The sequence below is a fragment of the Homo sapiens genome, chromosome 2 (assembly GCF_000001405.40).
Source record: "Homo sapiens chromosome 2, GRCh38.p14 Primary Assembly".
NCBI lineage: Eukaryota > Metazoa > Chordata > Mammalia > Primates > Hominidae > Homo > Homo sapiens.
Genome location: NC_000002.12, coordinates 77,923,952 through 77,936,871, shown reverse-complemented (window position 1 = coordinate 77,936,871; position 12,920 = coordinate 77,923,952). Strand labels below are relative to the sequence as shown.

Here is a 12,920-nt window from a genome sequence, read left to right as displayed (position 1 = left end):
GTCTTACAAAATATAGATACTATGATATGATTTCTCTATACCCAGTAAAAGAAAAAGCCTGCTCTATTAAATTTCCAAATGAAATAAAACAATGATTTGGATTTTTGCAATTCTCATATTTTCCTAATTTGAGTCTATGTCTAAACTACCAATTTTTCAGGAGTGAAGAAATTTTCCCATGATTTTTTCACTTCTTCCATATTACAAATCTAGCTCTGGTGTTATCAGTAAAATGAATTTTCATCCTGGGATTTAAAAAAGCTTAAAACCAGAACTGTCCTGTTTAAGATGTCTACCTGATCACTGTATTCTAGAATGATTATCACCCATACTGCTTTTCCCATTCCATCATAAATTTATATATAATACTAAAACAAATGCTTAGCTGTTATCTAGTTTCTCTAATTTACATTAATTATTTATAGTTTTTACTATGTAAAAAGAATAGTTTGGACAAATTGTTAGAAGTTTATTTTCCCATTCAGTATTACAATTATATTATTTTTTTACTGGCTTGTTGTAGACATCAAAATATATAAAATTTCTAAGTAGATATTATGAACATCTAAGCTACAGTCATGTTAGGAAATATATTAATTAGATTCTATGAACTCTGTGAGAAAAAATCCCTATGCCCCTAAAGTGACAGTGAAGGAAAAATAAAAATTCAGCTGATAAATTTTTATTTATAAAGCAAGAATGGTGTGAGATATTAATCCATGTGTTTCTATAAACCCTAATCTTCTTAATCTATTATACTGTTAAGTAATATCATCTTATTAATAATGATACCATAAGATATAGGCATATTTAATTGTGTAAAAATAAAAAAATTGGAAGATAAAATAGGATTAATAATTCATTATTTTAATAAGGTTTTTATTGAGATAAAATTTACATAACATAAAAATTGCCATTTTACAGTGAAAAATGCCGTGTCATTTAGCACGATAGTGTTGCACAACCACCACCACTATCTAGTTCTCAAATATTTTTATCGCCCCCAAAAGAACCCCTATACTCATTAAGCAGTTACTCCCCATCCTCCCTCTTCTGAAACACTGGCAAACACCAATAGGCTGTCTTTATTAATCTATCTACTCTGGACATTTTATGTAAATGAAGTCATACAATATGTGACCTTTTATATCTGGCTGCTCTCATTTAGTGTAATATTTTTGAGGCTCATCTGCATTGTACCATGTGTAAGTACTTCACTTCTTTTTATGGATGAATATGGTCTCCTATACATACTATTTTTTGTTTATTTATCTGTTGACGAACATTTGCATTGTTTCTATCTTTTAGCTTCTGTGAATATTCTATGAGCATCCAGGTGTAAGCATTTATTTGAGTACCTGTTTCAATTAATTATATATATATATAATTACATATATATATATAATTACATATACATATATGTAATTTCTGGTTAATACGATAATACTGTTTAAGGTTTTGAGGAATTGTCCAAATGTGTTCCACAGTAGCTGCACTGTTTTACATTCCCACAAGCAAAATAAGAGGGTTCCAATTTCCCTACACGCTTATCAACATTTGTTACTTTCTGTTTTGCTTTTTAAAGTATTATTATAGCCATCCTAGGAGGTTTGAAGTGATATTATTTGTATTTGATTTTTGTCTCCCTAGTCCTAGTTACTAACATTGTTGAGCATATTTCCATGTGCTTGTTAGACATTGTATATCTTTGGAGAAATGTCTAATCAAGTCGTTTGCCTATTTTTTAATTAGTAGTTTGTATTTGCAATATGAGTTCTTTAGACATTCTGCATATTAGATCCTTGTGAGATCTGTAATTTACAAGTATTTTCTTTCATTCTGTAGGCTTTCCTTTTCTTGATAATATTTTTAGATGCCCAAAGGTTTTTCATTTTGATGAAATGTAACTTTTTTTTTGTTGTATCACTGCCTGTATTTTTGTTTTTATATCTAAGAATTAACTTCCAAGTCCAAATCCATGAAGATTTACACCTATCTCTTCTTCTAAGACTTATATGGTTTTAGCTCTTACATTTAGGTCATTGATCCATTTTGAGTTAACTTTTTAAAATGGTGCAGGTGGGGATTCAATTTCATTTCTTTATATGTAAATATCGGTGTGTCCCAGCAATAATTGTTGGAGAGACTTTATTTTCTTATTGATAACCTTGGCATCCCTGTCAAAAATCAATTGACCATCTAGATGTGAGGATTTATTTCTGGACTCTCAAGTCTATTCTACTGGTTTATCATAATGCTAGTACCACACTGTTTTGATTACTATACATTTGTAGGAAAATTTGAAATCAAGAAGTGTGTCATTCAACAATGTTCTTTTTCAAGATTGACTTGGTGATTTGGGGAAACTTACAAATCTATATAAATTTAATAATTGTTTTTTCCTTTCTGTAAAAAAACAAAAAAGCCCATTCATTTTGACAGGGATTGCATTGAAACTATAGACAGCTTTGAATAATACTGCAATCTGAATAGTAGGTCATGTGATCCATGAACACAGTGTGTCTTTCCCATTCTTTAGTCCTTCCTTAATTTCCTTTAGCAATGTTTTATAATTTTTAGTGTACAAATTTTGCACCTCGTTTGTTAAATTTACACCTAGCTATTTTATTCTTTTGAATGTTCTTTTAAAATGGAATTCTTTTCTTTTTTTGTTTTGTTTAACTTTAAGTTACAGGATACATGTGCAGAATGTGCAGGTTTTTTACTTAGGTATATGTGTGCCATGGTGATTTGCTGCAAATATCAACCCATCACCTAGGTTTTAGCCCCACATGCATTAACTATTTGTCCTGATGCTCCCCCTCCCCTCACTACCCTCCCTCCTTAACAGGCCCTGGTGTGTGGTGTTCCTCTCCTCGTGTCCATGTGTTCTCATTGTTCAACTCCCACTTATGAATGAAAACATGCAGTGTTTGGTTTTCTGTTCCTGTGTGATTTTGCCGAGGATGATGGCTTCCAGCATCATCCATGTCCCTGAAAAGGACATGATCTCATCCCTTTTTGTGGCTGCATAGTATTCCATGGTGTATATGTAGCACATTTTCTTTATCTGGTCTATCATTGATGGACATTTGGGTTGGTTCCATGTCTTTGCTATTGTGTATAGTGCTGCAATAAACATACAAGTGTATGTATCTTTATAATAGAATGAGGTATATTCTTTTGGGTATATACTCAGTAATGGGATTGCTAAGTCTAATGGTATTTTTGGTTCTGGATCCCTGAGGAATCACAACACTGTCTTCCACAATGGTTGAACTAATTTACATTCCCACCAACTATGTAAAAGCATTCCTAGTTCTCCACAGCCTCACCAGCATCTGTTGTTTCTTGACTTTTTAATAATCGCCATTCAGATTGGCATGAGATTCTTGTGGTTTTGGTTTGCATTCCTCTAATGATCATTGATGATGAGTTTTTTTCATAAGTTTGTTGCCTGCATTAATGTCTTCTATTGAGAAGCATCTGTTCATATCCTTTGCTCACTTTTTGATGAGTTTGTTTGTTTTTTTCTTGTAAATTTGTTTAAGTTCCTTGTAAATTCTGGATATTAGACCTTTGTCAGATGGGTAGATTGGAAAAATTTTCTCCCATTCTGTAGGTTACCCGTTTGCTCTGATGATAGTTTCTTTTGCTGTGCAGAAGCTCTTTAGTTTAATTAGAACCTATTTGTCAATTTTTGCTTTCATTGCAATTGCTTTTGGTGATTTTGTCATAAAATCTTTGCCCATGCCTATGTCCTGAATGGTATTGCCTAGGTTTTCTTCTAGGGTTTTTATGATTTTGGGTTAATTTTTGTATAATGGGTAAGGAAGGGGTCCAGTTTCAGTTTTCTGCATATTGCTAGCCAGTTTTCCCAACACCATTTATTAAATAAGGAATCCTTTCCTCATTGCTTGTTTTTGTCAGGTTTGTTGAAGATTAGATGGTTGTAGATGTGTGGTCTTATTTCTGAGATATCTACTGGGTTCCATTGGTCTATGTATCTTTTTTGGTACCAGTACCATGCTGCTCTGGTTACTATAGCCATGCAGTATAGTTTGAAATTCGATAGCATGAAGCCTCCAGCTTTCTTCTTTTTGCTTTGGATTGTCTTAGCTATACAGGCTCTTTTTTGGTTCCATATGAATTTTAAAGTAATTTTTTCTAGTTTTGTGAAGAATGTCAATGGTAGTTTAATGGGAATAGCATTGAATCTATAAATTACTTTGGGCAGTATGGCCATAGTATTGGAAGTTCTGGCCAGGGCAATCAGGCAACAGAAAGAAAAAAGGGTATTCAAATAGTAAGAGAGGAAGTCAAATTGTCTCTGTTTGCAGACGACCTAATCCTATATTTAGAAAATCGCATTGTCTCAGCCCAAAAACTCCTTACACTGATAAGCAACTTCAGCAAAGTCTCAGGATACAAAATCAATGTGTGAAAATCACAAGCATTCCTATATACCAACAATAGACAAGCAGAAAGCCAAATCATAAATGAACTCCCATTCACAATTGCTACAAACAGAATAAAATACCTAGGAATACAGCTAACAAGGGGTATGAAGGACCTCTTCCAAGAGAACTACAAATGACTGCTCAAGGAAATAAGAGAGGACATGAACAAATGGAAAAACATTCCATCCTCTTGAATAGGAAGAATCAATATTATTATTTTTTTGCATCGTGCAATTTTGTATAGAAACAACAAGTAATTTTAATGTGTTAATCTTATGTCCTAAAACTTTGCTGAATGTGATCTTTAGCTATAATAGTTTGTATGTGTATATGTGTGAATTCTTTTGGAATATTTGTATATAAGATCATGTCATCTATGGATATATATAGTTTTAGTTCTTCCTTTACATTTTTGATGTGTTTTATTTATTTTTCTTGCCTAATTGTTCTGGCTAAAATGTCAGGTACAATGTAAATGTCAGTGGTGAATTCAGGCCTCCTTTTTTATCTAAAGGGGAATTTTCTTTTTTGTTTTTCACCATTGAGTTTGTTATTAGCTGTGACTTTTTTAACCAATGCCTTTCGTCATGCTGAGAAAGTTCTTTTCTATTACATATATTCTTCTGAATTTTTTTATCATGAAAGGATGTTGGATTTTTACCAAATGCTTTTACTGTGTGGGTTGGGTGATCATGGTTTTGTTTTTGTTTCTGTTTTTTTTGTTCTGTTAATGTGGTGCATTGGATACACTGATTTTCTCATATTGTGTTCTTAGAATAAATGCTCCTGGTGTAGAATCTTTTCCATATAATATTGGATTTAGTTTACTAATATTTTGTTAAGGATTGTCTAATCTAGATGCATAAGAAATAGTGGTATATAGTTTCTTTTCTTGTGATGTTTTTATGTGGTTAGTATAAAGGTTATTTTGGCCTCATAGAATAAGATTTTTAAAAAATGGTCCCTCTTCATTTTGGAAGATTTGAGAAGGATTGGTGTTAATTAATTTTTATTTTTTATTTTTATTTATTTATTTATTTATTTATTTATTTATTTATTTATTTTGAGACAGAGTCTTGCTCTGTCGCCCAGGCTGGAGTGCAGTGGTGCGATCTCGGCTCACTGCAAGCTCCACCTCCTGGGTTCACACCATTCTCCTGCTTCAGCCTCCCGAGTAGCTGGGACTACAGGCACCCGCCACCACGCCCAGCTAATTTTTTGTATTTTTAGTAGAGACGGGGTTTCACCGTGTTAGCCAGGATGGTCTCAATCTCCTGACCTCGTGATCTGCCTGCCTCGGCCTCCCAAAGTGCTGGGATTACAGGTGTGAGCCACCACGCCCAGCTGAATTTTTAAATGTTTGGTGGAATTTACCAGTGAAACCATGTGGCCCTGGGCTTTCCTCTATTGGGAGGTTTGTAAATATTACTTAATAATTACTAATATTATTAATTTATAGTCACAAATTATTTACACATTATTTCACAAATATTTAATTAATATGTAATTTCTTATGTAACTGGTTAGATTTCCTGTTATTCATTGGCTCAGTTTTGTTATTTGGGGGATTTCTAGGGAGTTTCTATATCACTGATGTTATCTAACTTACTGGCATACAATTGTTCATAGTGTCCTCTTATAATCTTTTTTCAAATTTTTGTAAAGTCAGTAGTAATATCCTAGTTACTTCTCTGACTTTAGTTATTTGCATGTTCTCTCTGTTTCTTTGTCAGACTAAAGTTTTGTATTATTGATCTTTTAAGTAAACAGCTTTTGTTTCATTGATTCTCTCTATTGTTTTTCTATTTTTTATTTCACTTATCTCCACTTTAATCTTCTTTTTTCCCTTTTTCCTTCCTTCTGTTATATTTGAATTTAATTTGCTTTTCTTTTTCTAGTTCCTTGATGTGTTAAGTTAGGTTCTTAATTTGAGGTTTTTTTATTTAAATGGAGATAATTATAACTGTAATTTTTTTCTCTGAACATTGCTTTTGCTAAATTCTAGAAGTTTTTGCATGCTGTGTTTTTGTTTTCATTTGTCTCAGAATAATTTCTAATTTTCCTGTGATTCTTTGATTTGTTGATTGTTTAAAGATGTATTTTTTAATTTTCATAAATCTATGTATTTTCTAGCTTACCTTGTGTTACTTATTTCTAGCTTCATTTCATTCTAATCAGAGAAAATAGTTTGTACACTTTCATTATTTTTAAATAAGGAATGTATTTAGAGTTATTTTGTTGTGTAATACAGTGGTCCCCAACCCCCACTCTGTAGACAGGTATGGGTCCATGGCCTGTTAGAAACTGGGCCGCACAGCAGGAGGTGAGCAGTAAGCAAGAGAGCATTACTGCCTCCACTCCCCCTCCTGTCAGATCAGCAGCAGCATTAGATTTTTATAGGAGTGTGACACTGATTGTGAAGAGCGCAGATGAGGGATCTAGGTTGTGCATTCCTTATGAGACTCTAGCTAATGCCTGATGATCTGAGGCTGAAAACTTTCATCCCAAAACCTCCCCACTCACCAAGTCTGGAAAAATTGTCTTCCATGAAGCTGGTCCCTGCAGAATTTTCTACAAGCATTCGAGAATAATATGTATTATTCTGTCTTTGGCTTGAATATTCTGTATATGTGTGTTAGATCTAGTTGGTCATCTAGTTAGGTCTAGATAATCAGGATCATCTCAATAGATACAGAAAAAACATATGTCAAAATTAAAAACCCTTCATGATTAAAAGCACTCAGCAAACTGGGACTTGAATGAAACTACCTAAACACAATAAGACCATAAAAGAAAAAACACAGCTAGCATCAAACTAAATGGCTAAAGACTGAAAGCTTTTCCTTTTATGATCAGGAACAAGTGAAGGATGCCTGCTTTTGCCACTTCTTTTCAACATAATATTGGAAGTTTTAGTCACAGCAATAAGGAAGGAAAAGAAATAAACAAGAAAACTATCACTGTTCACAGATAATATGTTCTTGTACGCAGAAAATGCTAAAGATCCTATATACAAAAAAAGCTAGAACTAATAAGTTGATTCATAAAAGTTCAGGGTACAAAATCAGCACACAAAAATTCATTGTGTTTCTATTCGCTAACAATTAACAATTCAAAAAAGAACTTAAGAAAATAATTCAATTTATAATTGCATCAAAATAAATGAAATAGAGATTATGTTAACAAGAGATATAAAAGATTTGTACACTGAAAATGACAAAACATTGCTGAAAAAAATTAAAGACATTAATAAATACAAAGGCATTCTGTGTTCATGGTTGAAAAACTTAATATTGTTTAGATGTCAGTACTGCCCAGAGTGATCTGTAGATTCAGTGCAAGCACTATCAAAAGCCAATGAAGTTTTTGCAGAAATAGAAAAACCCATCCTAAAATTAATATGAGATCTCAAGGGGTTTCACATAACCAAAACAATTTAGACAAAGAATAACAAAGTCAGAGTTTTCACATTACCTAATTTCAATATGTACTGCAAAGCTACAATTATCAAAACGCTGTGATACTTATATAAAAACAGACATATAGACCATGAAATAGAAAAGAGATCCCAGAAATAGACTCCTGCATAGGTGGTCAAATTATTTTCAACAAGGATGCCAAAACCACTCAATGGGGAAAGATCAGTCTTTTAAATCAATAGTGAAATAAAAATCAAATACTTACATACAAAGGAATAAAGTTGGACCCTTATCTAAAACTGTATACACACATTAGCTTAACTTCTGCACAGCAAAAGAAACTATCAAAAGAGTGAGCAGACAACCTATAGAATGAAAGAAAATATTTACAAAATATGCATCTGGCAAAGTCTAATGTCCAGAATCTATAAGGAACTTTAACAATTGAACAAGCAATAAACAAATAGTCACATTAAAAAATTATCAAAAGACACGAACAGATACTTCTTAATACAACGCATACAAGCAGCCAAAAACATGAAAAATGCTCAATATCACTAATCATCAGAGAAATGCAAATCAAAACAACAATGAGATAGCATCTCATACCAGTCAGAATGGTTATTATTAGAAAGTCAAAAAACAACAGATGTTGGCAAGGCTGTGGAAAAATACTTATACACTGTTGCTGGAAAGTAAACTAGTTTGGCTACTGTGGAAAGCAGTTTGGAGATTTCTAAAAGAACTTAACACAGATTGGGCACAGTGGCTCATGCCTGTAATCCCAGCACTTTGGGAAGCTGAGGTGGCTGGATCTCGAGCCAAAGGAGTTCGAGACCAGCCTGGGCAACGTGGTGAAACCTCATCTCTACAAGAAATACGAAAATTAACCAGACATGGTGGCACCCACCTATATCCCCAGTTACTCAGAGCCTGAGATGGGAGGATTGATTGAGCCTGGGAGGCTGAGGCTGCAGTGAGCCATGATCACTCCACTGCACTCCAGCCAGGATGACAGAGAGAGAACCTGACTCAAAAAAAAAAAAAAAATTAGAACTACCATTTGACCCAGCAATTCCATTACTAGGTATATAGCCAAAAGAAAATAAATCATTTTACCAAAAGACATGCACACATATGTTGATTGCAGCACTATTCACAATAGAGAAGACATGGAATCAACAAGGTGCCCATAAATGGTGGATTGGATAAAGATAATGTGGTACATATATACTATGGGACACTACATAGCCATAAAAAGAATAAAATTATGTCCTTCGGAAAAACCTGTATGGAGCTGGAGGCCATTATTGTAATTGTTTTGTGTTGCCATGAACAGTGACTATATAAAACGATGAACTGAATTGATAAATGTATGTGTTCTGACTGCTCCATGGAACAGCCCTATTCCCATTGTATTAGTCCATTTTCATACTGCTATAAAGAACTGCCTGAGACTGGGTAATTTATAAGGGAAAGAAGTTTAATTGACTCTCATTCCAGCATGTCTGGGGACACACCTCAGGAAGCTTAATCATGGCAGAAGGCAAAGGGGAAGCAAGACACCTTCTTCACAAGGCAGCAGAAAGGAGAAATGCTGAGCAAAGAGGGGAAGAGCCCCTTGTAAAACCATCAGATTTTATGAGAACTCACTCACTATCATGAAAACAGCATGGAGGAAACATCCCCGCTATTCAGTTACCTCCAGCTGGTCTGTCTCTTGACATGTGGAGATTATGGGGATTATAAGGATTGTAATTCAAGATGAGATTTGGGTGGGGACACAAAGCTTAATCATATCATCCATCCTCATCTCTCTCCTCAGAATTCCATATTCCCTAAGACACAAGAATATTGAAATTATGGCAATTAATAACCCTACGGTGACCTCTAAGTTTTCAAATGGAAGAAAGAATCTCATTTATCTGACTTTAAACCTAAAGCTAGAAATAATTAAGCTTAGTGAGGAAGGCATGGCTAAAGTTGAGACAGGCTGCAAGGGAAGCCTCTTGCACCAAACAGTTACCCAGCTTGTAAATGCACAGTGAGAGTCCTTAAAGGAATTCAAAACAGCTAGTTTAGAGAACACACGAATGATAAGAAAGTCAAACAAACTTATTGCTGATTTGGAGCAAGTTTTTGTGGGGCTGTAGAGAGCCCCAACAGTCCCCCAAGCCAAAGCCTAATCCAGAGCAAGCCCCTAACTCTCTTCAACTCTATAAAGGCTGAGACAGATAAAGAAGCTGTAGAAGAAATGATTGAAGCCAGAAGAGGTTGGTTCATGAGGTTTAAGAAAAGAAGCTGTCTCCGTAATATAAAAGTGCAAGGTGAAGCAACAAGTGCTGATGTAGAAGCAGTAGCAAGTTATCCAGAAGATCTAGCCAAGATAATTGATAAAGATGGCTATACTAAACAACAAATTTTCAATGTAGATGAAGTAGCCTTATATTGGAAGAAGATTCCATCTAAGACTTTTATAGCTTTAGAGAAAATGTCAATGTTTGACTTCAAAGCTTCAAATGTCAAGCTGACTCCAGTTAGGGACTAATGCAGCTGGTGACTTTAAGTTGAAGCAATTGTTCATTTACTATTTCAAAAATGTTAGGGCCCTTAATAATTGGTCTAAATTCCCTCTGTCTATGCTTTATCAATAAAACAACAATGTTTCAATGAATGACAATTCAATTTTTCAATAAAGTCAACAATGTTTCCTTAGTGACAGCACATCTGTTTACAACACAGTTTACTGAATATTTCAGGCCCACCGTTAAGATCCACTGCTCAAAATAAAAAAAATTCCTTTCAAAATATTTCTGCTAATTGACAATGCTCCTGGTCACCCAAGACCTCTGACAGAGATTTGCAAGGAGATTAATTTGTTTTCATGTCTTCTAATATAACATCAACTTGGTAGCCCATGGATCAAGAAGTAATTTTGCCTTTCAAGTCTTGTTAGTTAAGAAATATATTTTATTCCTCCGATGATCTGAGCAAAGTAAATTGAAAACCTTCTGGAAAGAATTCACCATTCTATATGACATTAAGAACATTTCTGTTTCATGGGAGGAGGTCAAAATATCAACATTAACAGGGATTTCAAAGAAGTTGATTCTCATGAAGGACTTTAAGGAATTCAAGACTTCAGGGGAGGAAGTAACTAAAGTTGAGGCAGAAATAGTAAAAGAACAAGAATTAAAAGTGGAGCCTGGAGATGTGATGGAATTGCTGCAATCACATAATAAAACTTCCAAAAATGAGGAGTTGTTTCTAATGGATGAGCAAAGAAAATGGTTTTTGAGATGAAATCTAATCTTGCTAAAGAAGCTGTACAAATTGTTTAAATGACAACACAGATTAGTACATAAAGTTGATAAAGCAGCCGTAGACTTTAAAAAGATTAACTCTAATTTTGAGAAAAGATCTACTGTGGATAAAATGCTGTCAAGTAGCATCACATGCTACAGGGATGTCTTTCATGAAAGAAAGAGTCAATCAATGAAGCAAACTTCACTGTTGTCTTTTTTAAGAAATTGGCACAGCTTCCCCAGCCTTCAGCAACCACCTCCCTGGTCAATCAACAGCCATCAACATTGAAGCAAGAACCTCCACCAGCAAAAAGATTATGACTCACTGAAGGCTTAGTAGATCATTAGCATTATTTTAGCAATAAAGTATTTTAAAATTAAGATATATACATTGTTTCTTAGACACAGTGCTATTGCACAATTAATAAACTACAGTATATTGTAAATACAACCTTTATATGTCTGGGAAATGAAAAAAATGTGTTGTTTATTTTATTGCAATAGTTTAGAACCAAACCTACAATATACCTGTGGCATTCCTGTAATTATAAAGAGATTAAGTTTTAAGAAGATACACTAATCTTGAAAGTGTATGCATCTAACAACAGAGAGTCACAACCAATGAGATAAAAAAATGATAAGCCTGGGAGGAGAGAAATTCCGTATCATAGTTGCTGACTTCAGTATCCCTTCGTCAGTAATTAATAGTTCAAGTTGGTAGGAAATTATTAAAGGTATAGATTATCTAAACAGCACTATCACTCTAATTAGTGAATTCAATTTATAGAATAATCCTTTCAACAAGAGTGACGATACATTCTTCTTTACCTCTTATAGAACTTCCACCAAGATAAAGCATATTCTGAAAGCTGGTTGCCAGAGAAACCAATCAGCGATAAAAGAATTGGGACTTTCAGCTTCACCTTCTCTACCTCTGGGGAGGAAAGAAAGGGCAGATATTGAGCTCAATCTCCAGTGGCTACTGGTTTAATCAATAATGCTTACATACTGAAGCTTCCTTAAAAACCCTAAATGAAGGAGTTCAGAAAACCCCAGGTTCACCACAATGATGAAGACATTCATGTGCCTAGAGAGTAGCCCACCCTAACTCAGTGGGGCAGAAACTCCTGTGGTCAGAACCCTTCTGTGTCTTGCTTATGTACCCTTCTTCTGACTGTCTATTTGTATCCTTTATAGTGAACTAATAAATGTAACTTTAAGTGCTTATTTGGGTTCTGGGAGTTGTTCTAGCAAATCATCAAACCTGGAGAGAGGATTGTGGAAATCCAATTTATAGCTGGTTAGTCAAAAATATGAGTGGCTTAGACTTTCTATTGGTATCTGAAATGAGGGCACTCTTGTGGGACTGAGCCCTTGACCTGTGGGGTCTGATGTAAGTCCAGGTAGTTAGGGTCAGAATTGAATTGAATTGTAGGACACCCAGTTGGTGCCTGAAAAGTTGGAGAATAGGTTGGTGTGGGGGAAATGGCCTTAGAATCATTCTGAATAGAAATAGATCATAGTATCTATTCTCTACAATTTTTGACAAAATAACAAAGGCATTCAGTAAAGAAAGAATAGGCTTTTCAATAAATGTTACTAGAAAAATTAAGTTCATGTACAAAGAAAGAATGTAGATGGACTTTACAATTTTACAAAAATTGAAATGCATTGCAGACCTAAATATAAAATGTTTAAAAATTTAAAAATGTTTAGACAAAAACATAGGATAAAAC

General features: G+C 34.2%; 2 long non-coding RNA genes across 7 annotated transcripts in view; both read left to right on the top strand.

The window, feature by feature from the left end:
- The window catches only part of LOC105374817 (uncharacterized), a 30,572-nt gene extending 18,163 nt beyond the window's left edge, over nucleotides 1–12,409 (top strand). For all 6 annotated transcript variants that reach the window (XR_940269.3, XR_940268.3, XR_940265.3 and 3 more), the window contains one exon: nucleotides 12,022–12,409. This is a non-coding gene — a long non-coding RNA (uncharacterized LOC105374817). The remainder of the gene's footprint in view (nucleotides 1–12,021) is intronic.
- Nucleotides 1–12,920, top strand: part of LOC101927967 (uncharacterized) — a 547,036-nt gene that overhangs the window by 353,860 nt on the left and 180,256 nt on the right. The window lies entirely within an intron of this gene.